This window comes from Homo sapiens, chromosome 11 (genome assembly GCF_000001405.40).
Source record: "Homo sapiens chromosome 11, GRCh38.p14 Primary Assembly".
Lineage (NCBI taxonomy): Eukaryota > Metazoa > Chordata > Mammalia > Primates > Hominidae > Homo > Homo sapiens.
The window spans coordinates 75,333,816-75,353,492 of record NC_000011.10 but is presented as its reverse complement, the minus strand read 5'-3'; the positions used below and the strand labels follow the sequence as shown (position 1 = coordinate 75,353,492).

General features: G+C 54.3%; 1 protein-coding gene and 1 non-coding gene across 5 annotated transcripts in view, besides 11 other annotated features; both read left to right on the top strand.

Annotated features, from left to right (window-relative positions):
- Window positions 624-1,579: an enhancer, noted in NCBI's record as "H3K27ac-H3K4me1 hESC enhancer chr11:75062958-75063913 (GRCh37/hg19 assembly coordinates)". NCBI's record gives its function as "activates a minimal SCP1, AML or CMV promoter by ChIP-STARR-seq in naive H9 embryonic stem cells {active_cell/tissue: H9 hESC(naive)}" and the evidence as "EXISTENCE:reporter gene assay evidence [ECO:0000049][PMID:30033119]".
- Window positions 1,812-2,091: a silencer, noted in NCBI's record as "silent region_3763". NCBI's record gives its function as "represses an Ori minimal core promoter by ATAC-STARR-seq in GM12878 lymphoblastoid cells {active_cell/tissue: GM12878}" and the evidence as "EXISTENCE:reporter gene assay evidence [ECO:0000049][PMID:35858748]".
- ARRB1 (arrestin beta 1) overlaps window positions 1,832-19,677 on the top strand; it is a 91,540-nt gene continuing 73,694 nt past the window's right edge. For all 4 annotated transcript variants that reach the window (NM_020251.4, XM_017017754.3, NM_004041.5 and 1 more), the window contains exon 1: window positions 1,832-1,905. In NM_020251.4, the coding sequence (NP_064647.1) occupies window positions 1,886-1,905 (20 nt within the window). In that variant the 5' untranslated portion in view covers window positions 1,832-1,885. The remainder of the gene's footprint in view (window positions 1,906-19,677) is intronic.
- Window positions 2,642-2,691: an enhancer, noted in NCBI's record as "active region_5266". NCBI's record gives its function as "activates an Ori minimal core promoter by ATAC-STARR-seq in GM12878 lymphoblastoid cells {active_cell/tissue: GM12878}" and the evidence as "EXISTENCE:reporter gene assay evidence [ECO:0000049][PMID:35858748]".
- Window positions 5,947-6,460: an enhancer, noted in NCBI's record as "H3K4me1 hESC enhancer chr11:75058077-75058590 (GRCh37/hg19 assembly coordinates)". NCBI's record gives its function as "activates a minimal SCP1, AML or CMV promoter by ChIP-STARR-seq in primed H9 embryonic stem cells {active_cell/tissue: H9 hESC(primed)}" and the evidence as "EXISTENCE:reporter gene assay evidence [ECO:0000049][PMID:30033119]".
- Window positions 6,461-6,974: an enhancer, noted in NCBI's record as "H3K4me1 hESC enhancer chr11:75057563-75058076 (GRCh37/hg19 assembly coordinates)". NCBI's record gives its function as "activates a minimal SCP1, AML or CMV promoter by ChIP-STARR-seq in primed H9 embryonic stem cells {active_cell/tissue: H9 hESC(primed)}" and the evidence as "EXISTENCE:reporter gene assay evidence [ECO:0000049][PMID:30033119]".
- Window positions 7,509-7,558: a silencer, noted in NCBI's record as "silent region_3762". NCBI's record gives its function as "represses an Ori minimal core promoter by ATAC-STARR-seq in GM12878 lymphoblastoid cells {active_cell/tissue: GM12878}" and the evidence as "EXISTENCE:reporter gene assay evidence [ECO:0000049][PMID:35858748]".
- Window positions 11,245-12,108: an enhancer, noted in NCBI's record as "H3K27ac-H3K4me1 hESC enhancer chr11:75052429-75053292 (GRCh37/hg19 assembly coordinates)". NCBI's record gives its function as "activates a minimal SCP1, AML or CMV promoter by ChIP-STARR-seq in primed H9 embryonic stem cells {active_cell/tissue: H9 hESC(primed)}" and the evidence as "EXISTENCE:reporter gene assay evidence [ECO:0000049][PMID:30033119]".
- Window positions 12,109-12,972: an enhancer, noted in NCBI's record as "H3K27ac-H3K4me1 hESC enhancer chr11:75051565-75052428 (GRCh37/hg19 assembly coordinates)". NCBI's record gives its function as "activates a minimal SCP1, AML or CMV promoter by ChIP-STARR-seq in naive H9 embryonic stem cells {active_cell/tissue: H9 hESC(naive)}" and the evidence as "EXISTENCE:reporter gene assay evidence [ECO:0000049][PMID:30033119]".
- Window positions 12,556-12,745: an enhancer, noted in NCBI's record as "active region_5265". NCBI's record gives its function as "activates an Ori minimal core promoter by ATAC-STARR-seq in GM12878 lymphoblastoid cells {active_cell/tissue: GM12878}" and the evidence as "EXISTENCE:reporter gene assay evidence [ECO:0000049][PMID:35858748]".
- Window positions 17,735-18,268: an enhancer, noted in NCBI's record as "NANOG-H3K27ac-H3K4me1 hESC enhancer chr11:75046269-75046802 (GRCh37/hg19 assembly coordinates)". NCBI's record gives its function as "activates a minimal SCP1, AML or CMV promoter by ChIP-STARR-seq in naive H9 embryonic stem cells {active_cell/tissue: H9 hESC(naive)}" and the evidence as "EXISTENCE:reporter gene assay evidence [ECO:0000049][PMID:30033119]".
- Window positions 18,269-18,803: an enhancer, noted in NCBI's record as "NANOG-H3K27ac-H3K4me1 hESC enhancer chr11:75045734-75046268 (GRCh37/hg19 assembly coordinates)". NCBI's record gives its function as "activates a minimal SCP1, AML or CMV promoter by ChIP-STARR-seq in naive H9 embryonic stem cells {active_cell/tissue: H9 hESC(naive)}" and the evidence as "EXISTENCE:reporter gene assay evidence [ECO:0000049][PMID:30033119]".
- Window positions 18,307-18,401, top strand: MIR326 (microRNA 326). The gene has a single exon (NR_029891.1). It is a non-coding gene; the product is annotated as a microRNA 326 (primary transcript).

The following is a 19,677-nucleotide window of genomic DNA, read 5'->3' as shown; positions in this document are numbered from 1 at the left end:
GTGGCAGAATTTCTTGAACCCAGGAGGCAGAGGTTGCAGTGAGCCAAGATCATTCCATTGTACTCCAGCCTGGGTGGCAGAGCAAGACTTCGTCTCAAAAATAAATAAAATAAATAAATATATTTAGATGTTTTGGGCATCAGCATGGAGAGATCCATTGGAGATCTTATGGTTTGGTCAAACCTGTTTTACAGGTGGGGAAACTGATGTGGAGAGTGGCAGGACCTGGCTTCACCATCCTGGTTAGGGATCTCCTGTCATCAAAGAAGATTCTAGTCTGCTCCTTTCCAGATCTCTGAGCCCTGCAGAAACAACAGGTGGCTTCCTCTTCTTCCTCTGTAGAGGGTGAAACCCAGAGGCCAAGACTGGGAGGAGGGTTCTGGGCTTTCATCCATACTCTCTAGCTCCTAACATTGCCCAGAGGTGGGCCACCCTGCCTACCCATCAGCCTCCCCCTGCCCCTCTGCCAAATCTGGACATAATTATAGTAATTATACTGCATATAAACAGTATAGGTAACTGCTTCTGAGCATAATTACAGGAGATGTTTACATACTCACAACAGCATCAGAGTAAATGATAGCTTACTTTCCCCTTAATACTTAGATATCAGGGACCTATCCGGGATAATTAGCCAAATCTCAGTAGTGAGGGTGTGGTAAAGACCTTACCGTTTCCCACTACCTGCAAAGCAGGAAGGCACCTCAGACAAAGCAGGGTCCCAGCCAAGATTTCACAGGACATCAAGAAGCCTGCAGAGAAGTGGGCTAACATCTACTGGGCACCTACTGTATGCAGGCGCTCAGGGGAGGCCAGCAAACACAAGCGAGTTCTTTCAACCTATTAACAATTCTGCAGGCTGATATTAGTGTATCCTCACTTTACAGGTCCGGACATGGGTTCTCAGAAGCTTAGTGCACAGGGTCACCCACAGCGAGCCATGGAGCTGGGCATGGGCGCTTTCCACGGTGCTACCCGGTCACAGCAGCGGGCCAGCTCTGCCCTCTTCCTTTATCGCCTCTTCTCACTTCTCACAGCTTCCTCTTCCTGGGCGGCCTCCTGCAGCCCCTGCTGGCCGCGGGTCTCCGCTCAGTTCCCCAGTGTCAAGGCCGTCTACTGCCCCCTCCGCCCCTTCTTCCTGTCCCTGTTGTGTGGCTGGGTGTTATCTCTCCAGTAGAAGGGGGTGGGGTGGGTGGAATGGGGAAGGGTGGAGCACAGGGCGAAGGCCTTGCCAGGCATCCCGGGGTCTCCAGCTAAGCGAGGGGCCGCAGGGAGCGCGGCCTCGGGGTCGCCAGACCCTCGGCTTCCAACCACCCGCACACACAAAGGCTGCCCCGGCATGCGCGGGAGAGCGCGCTCGCACCCACGGCCGTGCGCACACACGCACAACTGCACAAAGACGTGCACACTCCTCCATCCACACCAATACACTCCCTAATAGGGCCCGCACACAGCCGTGCGCCCTCACATACACCACACCACCACCACCACCACCACACACACACACACACACTCTCACACGGACTCGCACGCGGGTGGACCCCCTCCCCCACCACAAACGCCGACCTTGGGGCCCTGACGCGTCCCGCCGCGCTGCCCTGCCTCGCTGGGCGGCGCGCGCACACGCAGACGCGCACACACACACACATACACACACGCACACACCCCGCGCGGTTCCACGCCCCTGGCCGCGGCCCGGGCGCTGCGCTGCTCGACGCGGCGGGCGGCGGGCGGGGACCGGGGGCGGGGGCGGCGGCGGCGGCCGGGAGAGCGGAGGAGGCGGAGCAGGGAGCCGGGAGCGGGCTGGCCCGCGCTCCTCCTGCTGGCTGGGGATTTTCCAGCCTGGGCGCTGACGCCGCGGACCTCCCTGCGACCGTCGCGGACCATGGGCGACAAAGGGACCCGGTGAGTGCAGGGCGGCCGCCCGGCGGGGGGCGCGTGGGGGCGACCTCGGCGAGGACACGGGCGGGGGCTCCGATTGCGTCCTGGTTCTGCGTTCGCGGCCACCGCGGGATCTAGTACCAGCTCTCCTCCACCCGAGGTCTCCTGTGTGGTCTCCCCGGCAGGGCCGTGGGCGGGGGGACCCAAAGGGCGAGGGCCGGGCCGCCCCATGTGGGCCGCAGCTCCTGGCCCGGACACACAGCTCGCTGACACCCAGCATTGGCCGGCAGCCGCAGAGACGCACGGGGGCAGGTTGACACACAATACACGCACGGGCACACTAACCCGTGGCACAGGCATGCTGGCGCACACACTGGCAACCGCTAGCACACGCTCATCACACGCAGTGGCACGCCGTCATACACGCCTCGGTCAACACATTCTTGCTGACAGCCTTGTTGGCATGCACAGCTCACAATCCAACACACACCAATTCTAGCACACCCTCGTGCTGGCACACACGTGTGGGCATACACTGATACGCACACTGTCACCTGCACTCGCTGTAGCAAACACTCTTGCTGGCACACACATCACCCTCACTGGCACACACACTTGTGCTGGCATGTCTCACCAACACAGCGGAGCGCAAGGCCACACCAACACTGACCCCCACAGACACAATCAGACTGATGCCCTCAAAGACTGGCACCCCACAGGCACGAGCTGCTAGCCCAAGGCCCGCTGACACACACGCTTCAGGCCCCACATGGCCAGAAGTGGAAACACACACATCACACAGGGTAGAGCGCCCCCCGCCACCCCCAGCCTGGGGAAAACAGATCGCATTTCATCCAAATAGATCCCATCCATCTACTCTGTTCCCTTTCCCTCTGACCTCCTGAGGAGTGGCTGGCCAGGGGCTGTTTTGAACCTAGGGCTGGGAGAACCCCTCCCGTTCTCCTAGAACCTGTCCTGAAATACTCAGAAACAGTCTCTGCCTCTGAAAGGGGAAACTGGGACAAAAGGAGGAGGGGGCTGGAGCAGGACAGCCCCTGGGGGCAGCCCTTCAGACAGGACCAGCGCTGGTCAGGGGCTCAGCGTTGCCACCCTATTTTCCCCGTTGCCCTCCCCACCCCCTAAGTGGGCACAGCAGCCTCTCCCTGGGCTCCCCCTCTTTCTCATTGTTTTCTGTCTTTCTCTTCTATTCTTGTGTCCGACTTCTGCCTCCTTCCTTTCCTCCCCTCCCCTCTCCTCGTTTCCATTTATTATTAAGCTCTTGCTGTATACTAGGCGTAGTGTGGGGGATCAAAGATGCGCAAGGCCCACTCCTCCCCTGAAGGAGCTAACAGACTAGAGAGACACCACCCCGGTGGGCACCACCTTTCAGGGCCACTGACAAAGCTATTTCTCACCCACTGCCATCTAAGACTCTCTCTCCACAGTGTGAGAAAGGGCTTGCAGAGATTATTTCCATTTTCTAGAGGAGGAAACAGGCTCAGAGGCAACTCAGGCTCTTAATGTTTAGAAACTACTTTCCAGCCATCCTCCTGACAGCTCTTCCAGGAGGTTAATTTTCCTCTTCCTGTTTTCTAGCAGAGGAACCAGAGGGCTAGAGGCCATGTGATTTGCCTAAGGTCAAAAGGGGCCAGAGGCAGGGCGGAGGCTGGAGTCCACTTGGTCATGTCTCTGTGGATGGCCCTAGGGCACTGCCAGGCCCCTCATGGGCCAGGGAGGGGAGCCCTGCTCTGTGCTGGAGGCCCAGGCTTTGGGGGGGACGGCAGAAGATCATGCTGTGTCTGCATGAACCTTGATGGCTAGTCCCCATTGCAGCTGGCTGGCCAGCACTGTGACCTAGGCCTCTGTCCTCAGTAGGAAGGTATGTGACTCCTTCCCCAGCCACATCCATCTGCCCTGAAATTAAGACCCTCTTGACCCATGAGGTCAGGCTTTTCTTCCTGCAGGGCATAGCAGGGAGTCGGAGCCATTCTCCACTCCATTGTCCTTCCTAGGCTGCCTTGTGATCGGAGTGACTCAGCCTCTCTTGGGTCTCTCTGTACCTCTCTGTGACTTGGGGGATAAGTGTCATTGTTGTCCTGCTGACATGATTGTCAGGAAGATGTGGACACCATGGGCTTCCAGGCACCTGTTGGAGACCCTGTCTCTGAGGCCAAGGTATTTTCCATGGCTCCCCCTGCCCTGCCTCAAACTCACTGGTGGACCTTTGGGACATTGGGCAATTGCCTTTACTTTTCCGGACGTTAGTTTCCCATCTGTAAACTGGAGCTATCAATACTTACATTTTAGGGCTTCCCTTGTACTTACTGACTTCACTGGGCAGGGGAAGAGGCACTGCCTGAAGCCTGGAGCCAAGGCCCGGCTAAATCCACCTGATGGTGGCCCAGACCTCCCCTTCAGACTCTCCTGCAGCCCCATGAGGCCTTTCTGTCCCTTTCCGGACAGTTGGCTAAGTAATTTGGAAAAGAAGGGCAAAATCAGTAATGGGCTGTACCTTGTCTTTTTCCGTAAGGCATGAGTACCTATGACTTAGAAGAGGAATCTGCAGATATCAAAAACTGAACATCAGGAATCATCGCAACCATCCCTCCATCTGGAATTGCACCCCCATGTGAAAGTGACAATGAAAATTTATCACAAACTGTCATTGCCCTCTAGGAACTCCCAGGGTCAAGGGGGAAAGAGGTGTTAAATACCTGGACAGGGCTGTGCGCGGTGGTTCACGCCTGTAATCCTAGAACTTTGGAAGGCTGAGATGGGCAGATTGCTTGAGCTCAGGAGTTCGAGACCAGTCTGGGCAACATACCATCTCTACAAAAAACACAAAAATTAGCTGAGTGTGGTGGCACATGCCTATAGTCCTAACTACTCTGGAGGCTGAAGTGGGAGGATCACTTGAGCCCTGGAGGTTAAGGCTGCAGTGAGCCATGATCATGCCACTGCACTCCAGCCTGGATGAGAGAGTGAGACCCTGTCTGAAAAAATAAAAAAAAAAAATACCTGGACAGGACTAATCACAGGGCAGGAGTATGATGGTTGCTGCAAGGTGCTCTGGGAACAATCATATATTCATTCAACAAATGTTGATGAGTGCCTTCTGAGTGCCCAGGGCCTGGGGATTCAGCAAGGAAGGAGTCTACTCTGTCCTCCAGGGATTTAGAGCAGAGCAGGTGGTCATAACGCAGGATGACATGTGTTGTGGGAGGCTTAAGGAGAAGTCCCCAACCCAGGCCCAGGCAGGGAGCATGGTACAGGAAGCTCTCCTGGAAAGGAGGTGGCGTTGGAACTACTGAGCTTCATCTGGAAGGATGAATAGGCCAAGGGGGCGGGATTGGGAATGATATTTCTGGCCAAGGGTGCAGAATGTGCAGTGGCTTGGAGGCAGGAAGCAAGGCGTGCAGCCTGGGGCCTGGGCTGGGGATGATAGTGAGCCTTAAGAGGTAAACACAGACCGGTCACCAGCAGTCTGGGAATGTCAGGCTAAGGAGAGAGCATTTTCTCCTGAAGTGGATGGTGATTCAGAGAAGAGTGTGAGGCAGCAGAGGGCTGGAAGCAGATGTTTTCATTTCAGAGAGATGTCTTTGGCAGCGCCAAGTAGGGTGGATGGGAAGAGCAGGCCTAGAAGCAGGAAGACCAGTGAGGAGGCTGGGGAGAAACCTGAGAACTAAGGCTGTGAGCTCTGAACTTAGGCTGCAGAGAGGATAGAGTTGAGAAATATGAATGTGAATAGGAGGTGGAGTCCATCAACCTTGCTGGTCGATTGGACCTTTGCCAGGTATCTGGTGTGTGTTAGAATTACACGCATAATCTCAATGAATTCAACTGTAATCTAGTAGTGTAGTCATTGTTGTCCCCATTTTGCAGATGAGGAAACAGACTAGAAGAGATTAAGTATTTGTTCACTGCCATTCAGCCAGCAAGCATAAGAACCCAGGCCTATTGACCCACAAAGCCCTCTCTGCTACTCGACGCTTTTGCCCAAGAGAGGGGGCCTTGTCTGGCTCACAGTTGGCCTCCCCAGCAGCTCCCAGCCTCAAGTTGTGCGTCCTTTCTGGGCCTTGCCGTTTCCACTTACTCAACAGACAACATGAAGGATCAGATTTAGACAACAGGAGGGACTTCCTGAGAGGCAGTGGTAGGGAATGGAATTTCCTTTCCTGCAGATGAACTCCTCTTTTTTCAGAGAAAGGAGGGTGATGAGGACATGTAATCACCAGCTCTCTGTGAACTTTGGCTGTCATTTCTCTTGGTGGTTAAGCCCTGTGTGACCCATCTTGGCTGGAACATGGGGAAGTCCTGTGGCTTTGGCCAGGGCTGCTCATGGGGCCGCTGGGAGTGGTAGCATCAAGTCTGGCCCACTGTCTCTGATCCCTGATTCCAGGCCGGCCTCTGGGCTTCAGACTTCTCCACTGCTCTCTTCCTTCCAAGTTTGGGCCTCCTTGCCTGAGGCTGACGCCTCCCGTTGGCATGGGTCCAGAGGTCCTGAGTTGTGGGCTTGCCACTTCCAGGGCTTCTGACACTTTGGGTTGGTGGCAGTAGAACAGCAGGCTGGGAGTCAGCACACCCCAAGTGAGGTCCTGGCCTCTACACAGCCATGCTCCGCTACTGCCAGAGTGCCCGCGCCTACCATCTGGCTGAGGCCTGCATGGCTGGGAGCAGCTTGGTGAGGGAGCCAGGGCAGTCTGTTATAGGCTGGACGTAGTGGGGCTTCTGCATAGAAGGGTCTGGATCCTGGGGTAAGAATCAAGGTGCGAGGCAGGGCTTTGGAAATGTGGATGAATGACATCGCATAGGGAGGAGGTATAGAGTATGAAGAGAGGATGATTAGGGACAGCCAGGGCCTTGGAGAGCACCAGTGCCTGGGTATGGAGAGAAGAGGGAGGAAACTGACGGAAGGCCATATTCTTGGAGCCAAAGAAGCAGGGACAGACCCACAGAGGATGAGCTGGAGCGAGACCCCTCAGATTCAGCCAGAAGGCATTAGCTGGTGGCATGGGTTTTGGTGGAGTGGTGAGGGCAAAACTAGGCTACAGCGGGCAGAGAGGAGTGGGAGGGGACCCTGCTTTTCTACATGCCTGGAGCAAGGCTTGAGCCTCTTGGAGGAAGGGCGTGAGGCCCTGGGCTGGGAGCAAGCAGTATGGCGGCAGGCAGTGAAGACTGGGTATGGGAACCTAGGGGTTTTATCTCATCCACCCCCTCCCTCTGCCTTATGTCCAGAGGCAGAAGACCACTGCCCTGTGCTCTCCTTTCAGGCTCAGGCTGAGGGGTTGTGAAGTGTGAGCTGGTCCTGGGGAAGACATGTAATGTGCTGGCTCCAGAAAGGAGGGGCTTCTGACTCAGGTGGGGGACTTGGAGGAAGGCTTCTTTGAAGAGGTGACCCCGGAGCTGGGTGCTGGAGTATGAGAAAGACTTAGGCAGGAGTAAGGTGTTCTAGACAGAAGAAAGAGCCTAGGCCAAGGTGCAGATACTGGCTGCAGGTGTGGGAGTGTGAGGGGTGAGGCTGTGGAGGAAGGGACAGCCTTGGCCAGCAGGTCTTGGATGCTGGAGGGGGTGGTTTCAAGGTACTTTCTTATTCATTCATACCTCAGGCTGAGTGAGCTCCCCATTTGGTAAGCAGCTTGTGGTTCAGGGCTATTTCTGTTTCTCAGTTGATGCTTCCTTACCCACGCTGGGTCTGCTTCCCCAGGAGATGCCTGGCAGAGGTTTGCTGAACTGGACTGAAAATTTTTTTCCCTTCTTGCCTCTGCTATCGGTCCAGGGACTCCCTAAGTGCTGAAATTAGGCCTTTCCCATTAGTGAATCGTAAGACTGAAAGCGATATTTCCCACATTAGGCAAGTTCTCAAAAGAGAGGGGTGGGGTCCTGACTCCTCCATCAGACTGGGAAGTCCTGAGGGACAGGGTTATACCACTCCTATTAGCATGGGGCGCCTGAGCGGGAGGCCTGGGGCTCCCTCATCTGATTGGCTTTTGCAGGTGGGAGCCATGTCTCCCTCCTCAGACTGGAGGCTTCTGAAGGAAGGATGTCTCCTCCATCACACCGGGGGCTCCTGAGGTTGGGGCCTTGTCTCCCATGTGAGCCCTGGGATTAGAACAGGTATCGTCTCAGATGGTCCCTGGGCACCCTGTGTTCTTCCCTCCTATGTGGACAGGATGGTTCCTGTCCCAGGGGTGGCTTGAGTCCTAGTAGGGGGTTGGAGAACAGAGGGGGTTGGCAGGACAGGGTGGCTGCTTTTGAGAGGGTAACAAAGGACTCTGTTGTCCCAGCCCCCTCCCGCCTTCCCTAAGGGGCCCTGGCAGGGTCATCTCTCGGGAGACGCGCCTCCTCCTTCCTGGGACTGGCCCCATCTTTAGCCCCACTTCAGAAGAACTGCTTGTTCCTTCCCAGGAGACCTGGTGCCAGATGAAGCCCCTGGGAGTTGGACAAGACAGGTCCCCAGAATTGTGTGTGACTAAGGTCACCGCAGGAACTGAACAGCTTTTCCTCTGCCTGGGGCTGGGCGGCACCTGGCTGAGGCCACAGTTGAGCTTCTGCCTCCCTGCACCTGGAGAGGGATCTGCTGGTCTAAAGGGCCTTCAGCACTGGAAGCACTGTGACTGATGTCGAGTCAGCGGGAGGCAGGATGCAATGTCTGAACCATTCAGTGGTTCAACAGCCCGTGTATGGGCCTGGATGAGGCAGGAGGTCCCTTTCATGCTGGCCCTGGGCCTGTAGCCCACAACCAACTCACTTGGTCCTTGTGCGGCCACACCCTTCCCTCAGCCTTGCAGGGAGGCTTGTCGAACTGGACTGAACTCTTTCTTCCTTTCTTCCCCCATCACACTGGGGGCTCCTGAAGTTGGGGCCTTGTCTCCCACATGAGCCCTGGGATTAGAATAGGTATCATCTCAGATGGTTCCTGGGCACCTTCTCTTCTGCCTTCCCGTGTGCAGGATGCGTCCATCCTAGGGGTGGTTTGAGTCCTAGTAGGGGGTTGGAGAACAGAGGGTTGGACAGAGGGTGAGCAAACCTCTGCTAGGTTTGTTCCCTCTTCACCCTTGCCCCTGCCTTGTGCAAAGGGCATGGACAGGTTTTGGCATAGGGCCAGGGGAGGGGTGGGGAGTAGACTGCTGTGGCTCACCATCTCAGAATGGTCCCAGAGGCATGCTCTACTGCTTACTTATTGCTGTGTGACCTTGGGCATGACATGCACCCTCTCTGGGTCCTAGTTTCCCTGTGAAGTCAAATCAGGTGAGAGGCCCTTTTGCTAGCAGGTCCAGGAGTGACCTTTCTTCTGGGCGGCCAAAGTCTCAGGCCTCTGCTACAGGCCAGTGGGACTGAGACCACCAGGGAGTGTGTCCTGGGTGGGGATGGGTGTTGGGTGCTGGCGGCCAGGAAGGAATTGGCTACTGCTCGAAAGGGTAGTGCTGTCTCCCATGGTATCAGGTCCTTGAACAGCAGTCATGTTCACCTCCAGGGACATAAAGCATCTGTAGCAGGTCCAGGGCAGTGGCTCATGCCTGTAATCACAGCACTTTGGGAGGCCGAGGCGGGTGGATCACTTGAGGTCAGGAGTTCGAGACCATCCTGGCTAACACGGTGAAACCTTGTCTCTACTAAAAATATGAAAAATTAGCTGGGCGTGGTGGCGGGCGCCTGTAGTCCCAGCTACTCCGGAGGCTGAGGCAGGAGAATAGCATGAACCCGGGAGGCGGAGCTTGCAGTGAGCCGAGATCACGCCACTGCACTCCAGCCTGGGCGACAGAGGGACAGAGCAAGACTCTGTCTTAAAAAAAAAAAAATACTCAGGTCAGGAACACTTCCTCCAGGAAGCCTTCTCTGCTGCTCTGGGGCCTCCTCTGGGCACCTGCAGGCCCTTCGGTGATCTGATTAGCATGGATTATTAGCAGATTAGCATAGCGGTTAGGCTCTTGGAAGAACCAGATTTCCTGGTTTCCAGTCCCAGCTCTGACACTTACCAGCTGGGTGGCTTCCCTGATTACTTAACCCTTTCTCTGCTGTGGCTCCCTTATCTGTAAAATAGGGTAGTAGGTTGTCATGAGGACTGAGTTAAAATTAAGTAAGATAAAGCAAAGAAAGTCCCTGTGCAAGGTCAGTTTTATGCGGTTCTTATCGCTTATATGACGTCTCACCGGCCCTGCCTCCCTAACCCAGCTGTGAGCTCCCCCAGGGAAGGACCCTGTTTGATTCATTTTTTTGAGCCTCCCAAGGCCTCATTACAAGCCTGTATTATTGCTGGCTTTCAGTACCTGATTGCTGACTTGACCACATACAACAGCTGTCCCATCCTTCAAGGCCTGGATCACATACACCTCTTCCTCTGGGAAGCCCTCACTGGATTCCCAGCGCTTTGTGACCTTCTTGTAATCTCTCTCTCTCAGCACTCATCCCTCCCTCCCTGCATAGGTCCTGGTTATTTGCACACTCGTGATGATGTCATCTTGTGAGGTCAAGAACTTTTCAAGAGCACCCTGGATCTGCTTGTCCCCAGCACCTGCGCAGACCTGGCATGCCGCTGAGCTCCATAAATATTTGTTCAGCCAAGGCATTTCGCTGGGAGGAGATACTCTAGGGGGTGGGCAGTGTGGTTGGTGAGGACCATAGGACATCATTGCTGATTTCAAAATATCTCAAAGTAGCCCAGAGCCATAGGAATTAGATTATTCTTTGTGACCTAAAGGGCAGAGGTCACTGGATGTTCAGCTTTACCTTGCTTGAAGACTGTATTTTCTGACAACCAGAGCTCTCTGGGAAGGGGATTGGCGGCTCATTCCCGCCTCAGGGCCTTTGTTCCTGCTGCGCCTCTCTGTCTACTTGGTCCAATCCTACTTCCTAAATAGGTGCCCCGGCCACGGAGCCATTCTCTCCCGGCCTCTGGAGGGCGCGCTCCATTCTTCATCCTCATCCTCAGTCATGTACTGAGCCTTTCCCGGGTGTGGGCAGTGGCATGGGAGAGTAGGGAGTCCCTCCTTAGGATGGACATCTGGGTCTGGCTGCAGTCCCTCCAGTGTGGTTTGACCCGGCCTGAGGAGGGGACCATGGTTTCCGATGACCCACCGGTGATCAAGGAGCTCTTTATTCAGCTGGACAGCCTCCCTTGGCTGGCAGAGCACAGAGCTCCCCATCGGCTCCCCACTGGGCAAGTACTCAGAACCCACCTAATTACTGGGGACAGAATTCTGGGCACTGCATCCAGCAGGCTGCGGTCATAATCAGCTAATTAAACCACCCAAGCATTGCTCCTTGGCCCAGAGCAGAGGGAAGGGGGGTGAGGTGGTGAGGCTGGGAGGAGATGTAACAGGGGAGGCTCAGAAATGGGTCTGCAGAGCAGGGCTCGGAGAGGGAAGCAGGAAGTGCAGAGGGAAGGTGAGAAAGAGGGAGAGAAGTGGGCAGATGCCCAAAGGTGCCATCTGAGGAGAGCACCCAAGTGGGGTGAATGGAGGGAAGGGGCTCTGGCCTGGGAGACAGGGATCTCACTTCTTCACTGTCCCTGTGCTGCCATAGGCAAGCTGCTTTTCCTCATTGGGCCTCAGTTTCTCTATGTGTCAAGCAGGAAGTAGGAGAGGCTTTGGCCTAGAGGCTCCTCCCTAGGACCCTTTCCTTCTCTCGTTAGGAGGGGAGAGGGCGTGAGCAGCAGTGTGATTCTGGCGGGACAGCTTGGCCTCTGGCAGCCCTGCCTTCTGGAAGTGGCAGACAGTGTAGGAGTCTGAGCCAGCCTAGACTGGGTGGGAAGGGAAGACAGTTGGGAGCAGCAGTCTGCCCACCTGGCTCCCCAAGCATGTCCTGCCCTTGAGCCTTGGTCCTGTCTTTGGGACTGTCCTGTGGTTCCCAAACTAGTCCTCAGCGAGGGACTCTTTAAGGCCGAGGGCTCCCTCCCCAGGGCTGGGCAGTGTCATTTCCATCTGTGTAGGAATTGCCCAAGTAGCACCCTCAGAGAGTGTGGAGGAGGGGCTCCCAGAGCTAGAGGCAGGAGGTTTGGAGTTTGGAATTCAGAGTTAGGCAGACTCTGCTCTACTGCTCACTTGCTAGCTCCATGACCTTCAGCTTGGGTCTTAAACTCTCCGGCCTCAGTTTTCTCCTTTGGGAAATAGGTATAATAATATTAATGGGGTTTCTGTGGGCAGAGAGGGTAAGGGCTTCATAAAAAGCCATTGTCGGCCAGGCATGGTGGCTGACGCCTGTAATCCCAGCCTCTTGGGAGGCTGAGGTGGGCAGATGACCTGAGGTCACGAGTTCGAAACCAGCCTGGCCAACATGGTGAAACCTCGTCTCTACTAAAAATACAAAAATTAGCCAGGTGTGGTGGCACACACCTGTAATCCCAGCTACCAGGGAGGCTGAGGTGGGAGGATTGCTTGGACCCGGGAGGTGAAGGTTGCAGTGAGCTGAGATCTTACTATTGTACTCCAGCCTGAGTGACAGAGTGAGACTCTGTCTCAACAACAACAACAAAAAAGCCATCATCATTCAAGACTGAGGGTGGATCTCAGCTCCTTCCCTCTCCCATGTCCCCTTCCTCCTCTTTCATCCCTCTTTTCCATGGTCCAGGGTAGTGTACACAGCTGAGTGCGCGGGGGTGGGGGCACAGGGAGTGGGGGCTGTGCCGGCCAGCGGAGAAGCTCCAAGGAAGGCAGGAAGGGAAGTGAGATTGCCCAGGGCCAGCAGCAGCAGTGTGGTGCTGGGGCTGCTGGCGCCACTCCCCTCTGGCCCCTCACCCACGGCAGATTCTCTAGGAGGAAGTGGGGAGAGATTGGGGAGCAGGAAGCTGGGGGCGGTTGTGGAGGGAAGTCCCTTGGCATCCTGGCCCCAGGCTCCTCTTTCTTAACCCTCACCCCTGTGCAGAGCCCCGAGCCTGGCTTTCTGCCAAGGGAGCCAGCAGGCCACTGTTTCACACACTCAGAAAACAACAGCTTTCCTGGTTCCCAACCCCAAGTAGGAGGTGCCTGCTTGGAGCTCAGGCACTTGGAAAGCAGCGCCTGCTACAGGGTCTGCCAGGTCTGGAGGAGGCAGCAAAAGAGAAGAAAGACCCCCAGCCCCCACAGCCTCTCCTCGTAGTGCTGGGCTGAGATATGCCAGGGACTCTGACTCCAAGGCAGCTGGTTACATAACTGAGCATGCCTCCCTGCTCCTTTCCTCCCTGTTTCCCCAGAGGGGCCTTGGAGGAGGTGCTGCATTGCTCAGAATTCCTGCACCCAGAAGGTCGTGGGGAGCATCCCCCTGCCTTGGATAGTGGTAGTGCCGCCCACACTGTGTAGAATGGTGAGCCATGTATGCTTCCTCAGTGCAGGCCTCTGGGGTTGGCTCTGAGCATTGTCCCCTCCAACTCTCTTGGGAGCAGAGCTGCAAAGCGGGGAAGCCTCATTAGAGGAAACAGGCCTCGTCCTGAGATAATTTGCCTGCAAACTGCCCCCAGAGGGCAACTGGCCTCTGCAGCCAGAGGAACAAATAGCTAGCATTTTACAGTTTGTTCCATTCAATTCCACAAACATTTCTCCCTCCACTCAAGGCATGTCCCGAAGTGGCCGGGCCTGTCCCAGTGGTGTGTCTCTCTCCGAGTGGGAAGGGGATTTATGGAGCAGCTCTGCTCTGCCTCCCGCCTGAGGCTGCCCTTTCTCCGAAGTTGAGGGCCTGGCCTTCCCAGGTTCTGGGTGGCAAGAAACCTCATGACATGGAACACTATCTCCCCGGGCCTCGGGCTAGGAGTTTTCAGGGTTAGCTTATATCGTTTCTGTTAGGCCATCGCTGCCCTCCTGAGGAGGTTCCAAGGAACAAAGCTTTCTCTCTGTGCCACACCCCGGGCCCTGTGCTGGGCACCTGAAATATGAAGAGGACCCAGACAAGTCTCTGCCCTCATGCTGCTCAGATGTATTGGGAGAGAGGAAATAGATGATCTCAACAGCTGCCAGAAGAGGGGTAGTGGGCATCTGTTTATAGCAGGGACAAAACAGGGCCAGAGGTTAAGGATCAGAGGCAGCTCCCCAGAAGTAGGGACTCACGACCTGGTTGGAAAGTGCGTTTGTGTGAGCCAGAGGTAGTACTCTTCCTGGCAGTATCTCTGTGACATGTGTTTTCATCCAGGACTGACTTCCTTCAGCAGACTTGAGAAACCTACTATGTGCCGGCATAGTGTCAGGCACTGGTTTCATCTGCTGTCAGTAAGGAGTGTCTTGGGAATGCAGACTGCTTGAGGACAAAAAAACTAGGGTGAAAAGTGAAAGTTCTGCCACAGGGCATCACAGTAAGTGTTTCTGCCTGGAGAAAGAAAATGGGGTGGGTATATCAGGAGACACTGGGCTCAGCAAACCTGCCATTGGAAACCAGGGTCTACTGTCCTGAGGGTATGGAGAGGAAAGCTTCCCTCTAGCCCAGGAGACACTGCAGAGATCTGATGGCTCTTCCCAGAGGAGCCCATGGGCATGAGACAGTTGAGAAACTATGTCTTAGGAGAAACAGCTCCAGGCTTTGGGGCTGGCAGCCAGGGGCCATGTGCGCTGGTCTCTACAGATTGGAGGGCTATCTTTGGGCACACTGAGGCCACGTGGAGTGGTGGAGAGGAGGCAGCAGGCTGGGGTTCTCCCCTCCCCTTTACCAGTAATTGCATGTCTGTAGGCAAGTTTTCCAGCCTCTGGAGATAATGTGTTCATCCTTTCTCGGTTACAGCTGTGCTAATTAAAGCACCCAGCACATTAGCAGGGCTCATCACTGGTTGATGTTATGATGGGTCTCTATTGCCCCAGGGTACTGGGAGAAACCTACAGACGTTTTAAAACTCAATAAGGAGATTTTTTTTTGCAACAGATTTTTTTGACATTCTAAAAATGACAAAAATGATTACACATCATAATCAAGTGATTAATATGCGTTGTCGTTTCTCCCTGCGCTGACTGTTCCACAGCAGCGATTCAGTACAGCAGTGATTCACTGTGCATACTTGAAACAATTCAGCCACCTCTGATGTTCACCATTTGCAGAGTAAACTTTGTAGTAGGGAGAACTTTCAAAGAACCATGACCTGGCCCCACACTGAGCCCTGACCCAGTGTACAGAAAGACCTGAGTTTCTGTACACTGAGGCTCTGGCCTCAACTTCCATTTGAGTGTAGACCTGGATGGGGGTGTGCTGAGCTCCCTGGAGAAGAGAAAACCATGCCTTCCTGTGGGCAGCCCCAGTTCAGGGGATCCAAACTGAATGGTGATAGAGACATGGCTCCCAAAGTACTGTTCTCCTCATTCTACCGCCACTGGCTCAGGTCAAGCCCCACTCCTGGCCTGGATCATTACAATTGTCTTCTAGTTGCTGTCTTTCTGCTCAGTCCCAACCCTCCAAGCCATCCTGTTATTCTGAAATTCACATCTGGTCATTCTTCCCAGCCTAAGGCCTGATCCACTGCTCCCCATGTCCTATGGGAAAGTCCCCATTCTCTAGGTGGCACTGGAGGCCCTTCAGGATCTGTCTCTAATGTCCCTTCCACACTCCTTTCCCAGCTGTCCCCACCACACTGCTAACAACCTGGCTGCATTGACTTTTTTGGATCTTCCTCAACAGTCTTTGTACTTTTCACGCCTCTGTGCCTTTGCTCAAGCCGATCTCTTTAGCTGGAATGCCCTTCTTCCTCTGGTGAAATATTCCTTATATTTTCAGGTTGAACTTAAAAACATTTTAGCCTGGGTGCGGTGGCTCACACCCTTAATCCCAGCACTTTGGGAGGCCGAGGCAGGCGGATCACTTGAGCACCATTGCACTCCAGCCTGGGCAACAGGAGTGAATCTCCGTCTCAAAAAAAAAAAAAAAAAAAAAAAAAAAAAAAGACATTTCAATGAAATTCATTGAACAACTGCACAGGGCACCTGCTGTAGACATGAAGCCCTCCCTTGACTGCTCCCTGCCCAGGTAGAGTGAATGGCCTCTTCCAGGCTCCCTTAGCACTGTGCAGGCTTCCCGGATGGCACTTTACATTGTAGTTGACTGCTAACAAGTCAGTTCCCTCTCTGCTCGAGGGCAAATGTGTATCTCTTGTCTCTTGGACTCCCAGCTCCTGACTGGGGCCTGGCACAGTGTGGGGCCAGACTTGGGTTAGGGAGTGAGTCAGGGAAGATTCCCTGGAGGAAGTGAGCCCCGAGCTGCTGACTTAAAGAAAAAGCACCCTTTCCCTCTTCTTACTTCCTTCCTGGTCCTCGTGCTGAAGGAAAACAGTCAAAACTTTTTTTTTCCTTTTCTGTTTTTCCTTTGAGATAGGATCTTGCTGTGTCATCCAGACTGGAGTGCAGTGGCACGATCATAGCTCACTGCAGCCTCGAAGATTTTTTGTGGAGATGGGGTCTCACTGTGTTGCTCAGGCTGGTCTCAAACTCCTGGGCTCAAGAGATCCTTCTGCCTCAGCCTCCCATAGTGTTGGGATTATAGGTGTGAGCCACTGTGCCTGGTCTGAAACTGACTTTGAAAAGGGAAATGTATGGCTTTTGAATTGAGGGATGGAATCTCCTAGCCTGGAGATAATTAAATAAGGCTTAGATCTCCCTCTCTCCCTTCACGCATTTCCTGAATACCTAGAACATGCCAGACACTGGAGCTACAAAATGAATTAAATAAAACATGTCTATCTTTTTCTATCTCCATAATGTTCATGCTGGAAACTGCCCTTTTTCTGTTTCATTGGATCAAGTTCAAATCTTAGCAGGTCACTTGTAACTCTGACTCTGGGCACATTGTGCCACCTTTCTGAGCCCTAGTTTTCTTATGCATACCACGGAGGTGATAATATTCCCCTCATAGGGTGGTGATGGATCATGTGTGTGAGGGGCTGAACAGGTGCCTTTGACAGTGGTTTCTCATTGAGTGGCAGCCACTCTCCGACTGGAAGTTTCTTGAGGGCAGTGACTATGTTTGGTAGATAAATGTGTCCTTGGCACCCAGCCCAGGGACCAGGCATGCAGTACATGAGGGTCGTCAGCCATCCCAATTTTCCTGGGACAGTCTCAGTCTCGCATCTCAGGAAACCCCTCAGCTCACTCCTGGGCAAATCAGGACTGTGGGTCACCCTACAGTATCTTCTCATAAAGATTCGTAGAGTAGGTATATCCACGAATTAAGCAAGCATTAGTGAAGGACAGGAGTAGGACTTGAACAGGCCAGGGCAAGCACTGGGTGGCTGCCTTGGGCGCTGAGAGGAGTCAGCAGAAGGGTCTGGAAGGCCTAGCATGTGGACAGTGGGAGGTAGGGGTGGGGCCATCTGCAGCTTGGCAGGGTGTGGGGAGGACATCAGGCCCTGAGTCTGTAAGGTGACTGCTTTCAAACAGGTTTCAGGCTCCCAAGGGCCATGTGCTCTTCCTCAGACACATCCAGAGAGGGCACGGTTGATTCTCACTTTTTTGATTTCTATTAAATATATTGAGCCCTCAGCTACTCTTCCGCCTTGGTAGCTGGAGGCCTCTTCTTCCTCAACCTACTGAGTCTCAGCGTGCCTGCCCACTGCCTTCTGAGCTGTCCATGCCAGACTGAGATGAGACAGGGCAGAGGCACGGGCTGCGAGATGGGAGAGCAGGGCTGCAGGCTCATTCTCAGGCCCAGCCCCAGACACTGAGTGAGCCTTGGTTTCTCACAGGGTATCTGTGAGTTGTCACGTGTGGAAAGCCCCTTGGCATCTTTAGTATGCAATAGGTGCACAGCAAGTCTCATGTTTTGTCCCCGTCTATAAAAGGGGGACAATAAAGCTTGCCCTGCTCACCTCCAGGACTGTCGTGTGGGCCAAACGGGATGTGGATGTGGGATGTGGGAACATTTGGTAAACTGTATCATACCCTACAAATGTTTGAGGATGGGGTTCTTAATAGGGCAGCCCTTGCCAGCCCAGGATTCCAGGCCCAGGATTCCAGCCCAGGCATGGAAGGCTCCTCTTGGGGTTGTGCCCCAGGATCACAAAGAAATCTGGCAGTGCTGCCCTTGTGAGCAGCAGACCTCCGCAGGCAGGTCCGAGACTCAGCTGAGCTCTGCTTCTTTTTTTTTTGAGACAGGGACAGGGCCTGGCTCTGTTGCCCAGCCTGGAGTGCAGTAGTGTGATCATAGCTCACTATAGCCTTGACTTCCTGGGCTCACACAATCTTTCCTCCTCAGCCTCCTGAGTAGCTGGGACCACAGGTGTTCGCCACCATCCCAGGCTAATTTTTAAATTTTTTGTACAGATGTGGTTTTGCTACATTGCCCAGGCTGGTCTTGAACTCCTGGGCTCGAGCAATCCTCCCGTCTCAGCCTCCCAAAGTGCTGGGATTACAGGTGTGAGCTACCACGTCCGGCCAAGATCTGCTTCTTCTGAAACCATGGCAAGAGAAAGACAGACAGACTTGGACCTACTGCAGGGAGGGTTAAGTAGCAGCGGGACTCCCATCAAGAAGAAGGAATGTCTTCCGGAGCCTCATCTGTCTGTTGGGCTGGAGGCAGGGCCTTTGTGAAGGCGGGTGGTGCTCAGATCGCCTCTGGGCCCTTCCTCCAGCCCCGAGGCGGATTCACCATGAGGCTGATGCAGCTTCAGCTTCCAGCCCTTCACGCTCCAGGGCCCTTTCCAAGGCCTAGCAATGTGTCCATGTGCTCAGGGGTTTTGTGAAATTTGCAAAAGGAAATTATTTTTGTACTCTTTTTTTTTTAAAACAAACAAACAAACAAAAAAAAAACCTTCCAAGCTCTGTAAGCTTTAGGCGCCCAAGCCCAGCTCTGCCCTGCTGTGGCAAGTTTTCGTTTGGGCTAGGATGTTGGTGCCACATCTGCTGCATGTCCTCAGGGGGCTCTCATCCCACAGCAGAGATCTGTCATAGGTTAGAGCCCTCCCTACAGAAGCAACACCTGAAAGGCATCCAGGGGAGCCAGTTCTGGGGCAGGCTGAACCTGCAGCTTCACTTGCCATGTAAATTAGAGACTGGAAAGGCTTCTCTGACTTCAATCTTCCTCTTCTGCAAAATGGAGATAAGACCTTCCTGGAAAGGTTAAAATAATGAACCATAGGTGAAACTGCCTGGTCTAGCCCCAGGCTTGTCCTGGGAGCTCAGGAAATGCTGATGAAAGCTGGATGGAGATGGCTCAGGGGAGCCCATGCCTTTCATTGGGATAGTCTGTCCTGCTGTCTGTCAAATTAACCTGCTGTGTGCCAGGCCTGGTATTAGGCTCTGGGATACAAGCTGCTGGGGTGAGGTGGTCAGACGAATCAAGAGGGTGAAAGTGGTTATAAACTGTGGAGCACGGCTTGCCTGGGAAGGGGCTGTTGTAACCGGGATGGGGCCTTTTTTTTTTTTTTTTTTTTGTTTGAGACGGAGTCTTGCCCTGTCACCCAGGCTGGAGTGCAGTGGTGCTATCTCAGCCCGGGTTCAAGCAACTCTCCTGCCTTGAGTAGCTGGGATAATAGGCACATGCCACCACGCCCAGCTAATTTTTGTATTTTTAGTATAGATGAGGTTTCACCATGTTGGTCAGGCTGGTCTTGAACTTCTGACCTTGTGGTCTGCCCACCTGGGCCTCCCAAAGTGCTGGGATTACAAGCGTGAGCCACCGCGCCCGGCCTGGGATGGGACCTTCTGTGGGAGTGGGGCAGAGTAGAAGTCTGGACAGGCCTTTCCTGCTCCTGGGACTGGGTCAGGAGTCTGGCTGGTCTGGTGCCTGAGGGGAGCTGCCAGGGCAGGCCGAGCTGACCTTTCCTGCTCAGAAAGGAAGCCAGGCTGGCAGGGTGCGGTGCATCCCTCTGCAGAGTCAGGGAAGCGGAGTTTGTTGGCAGCAATGTCTTGCCTTCTGTGCTTC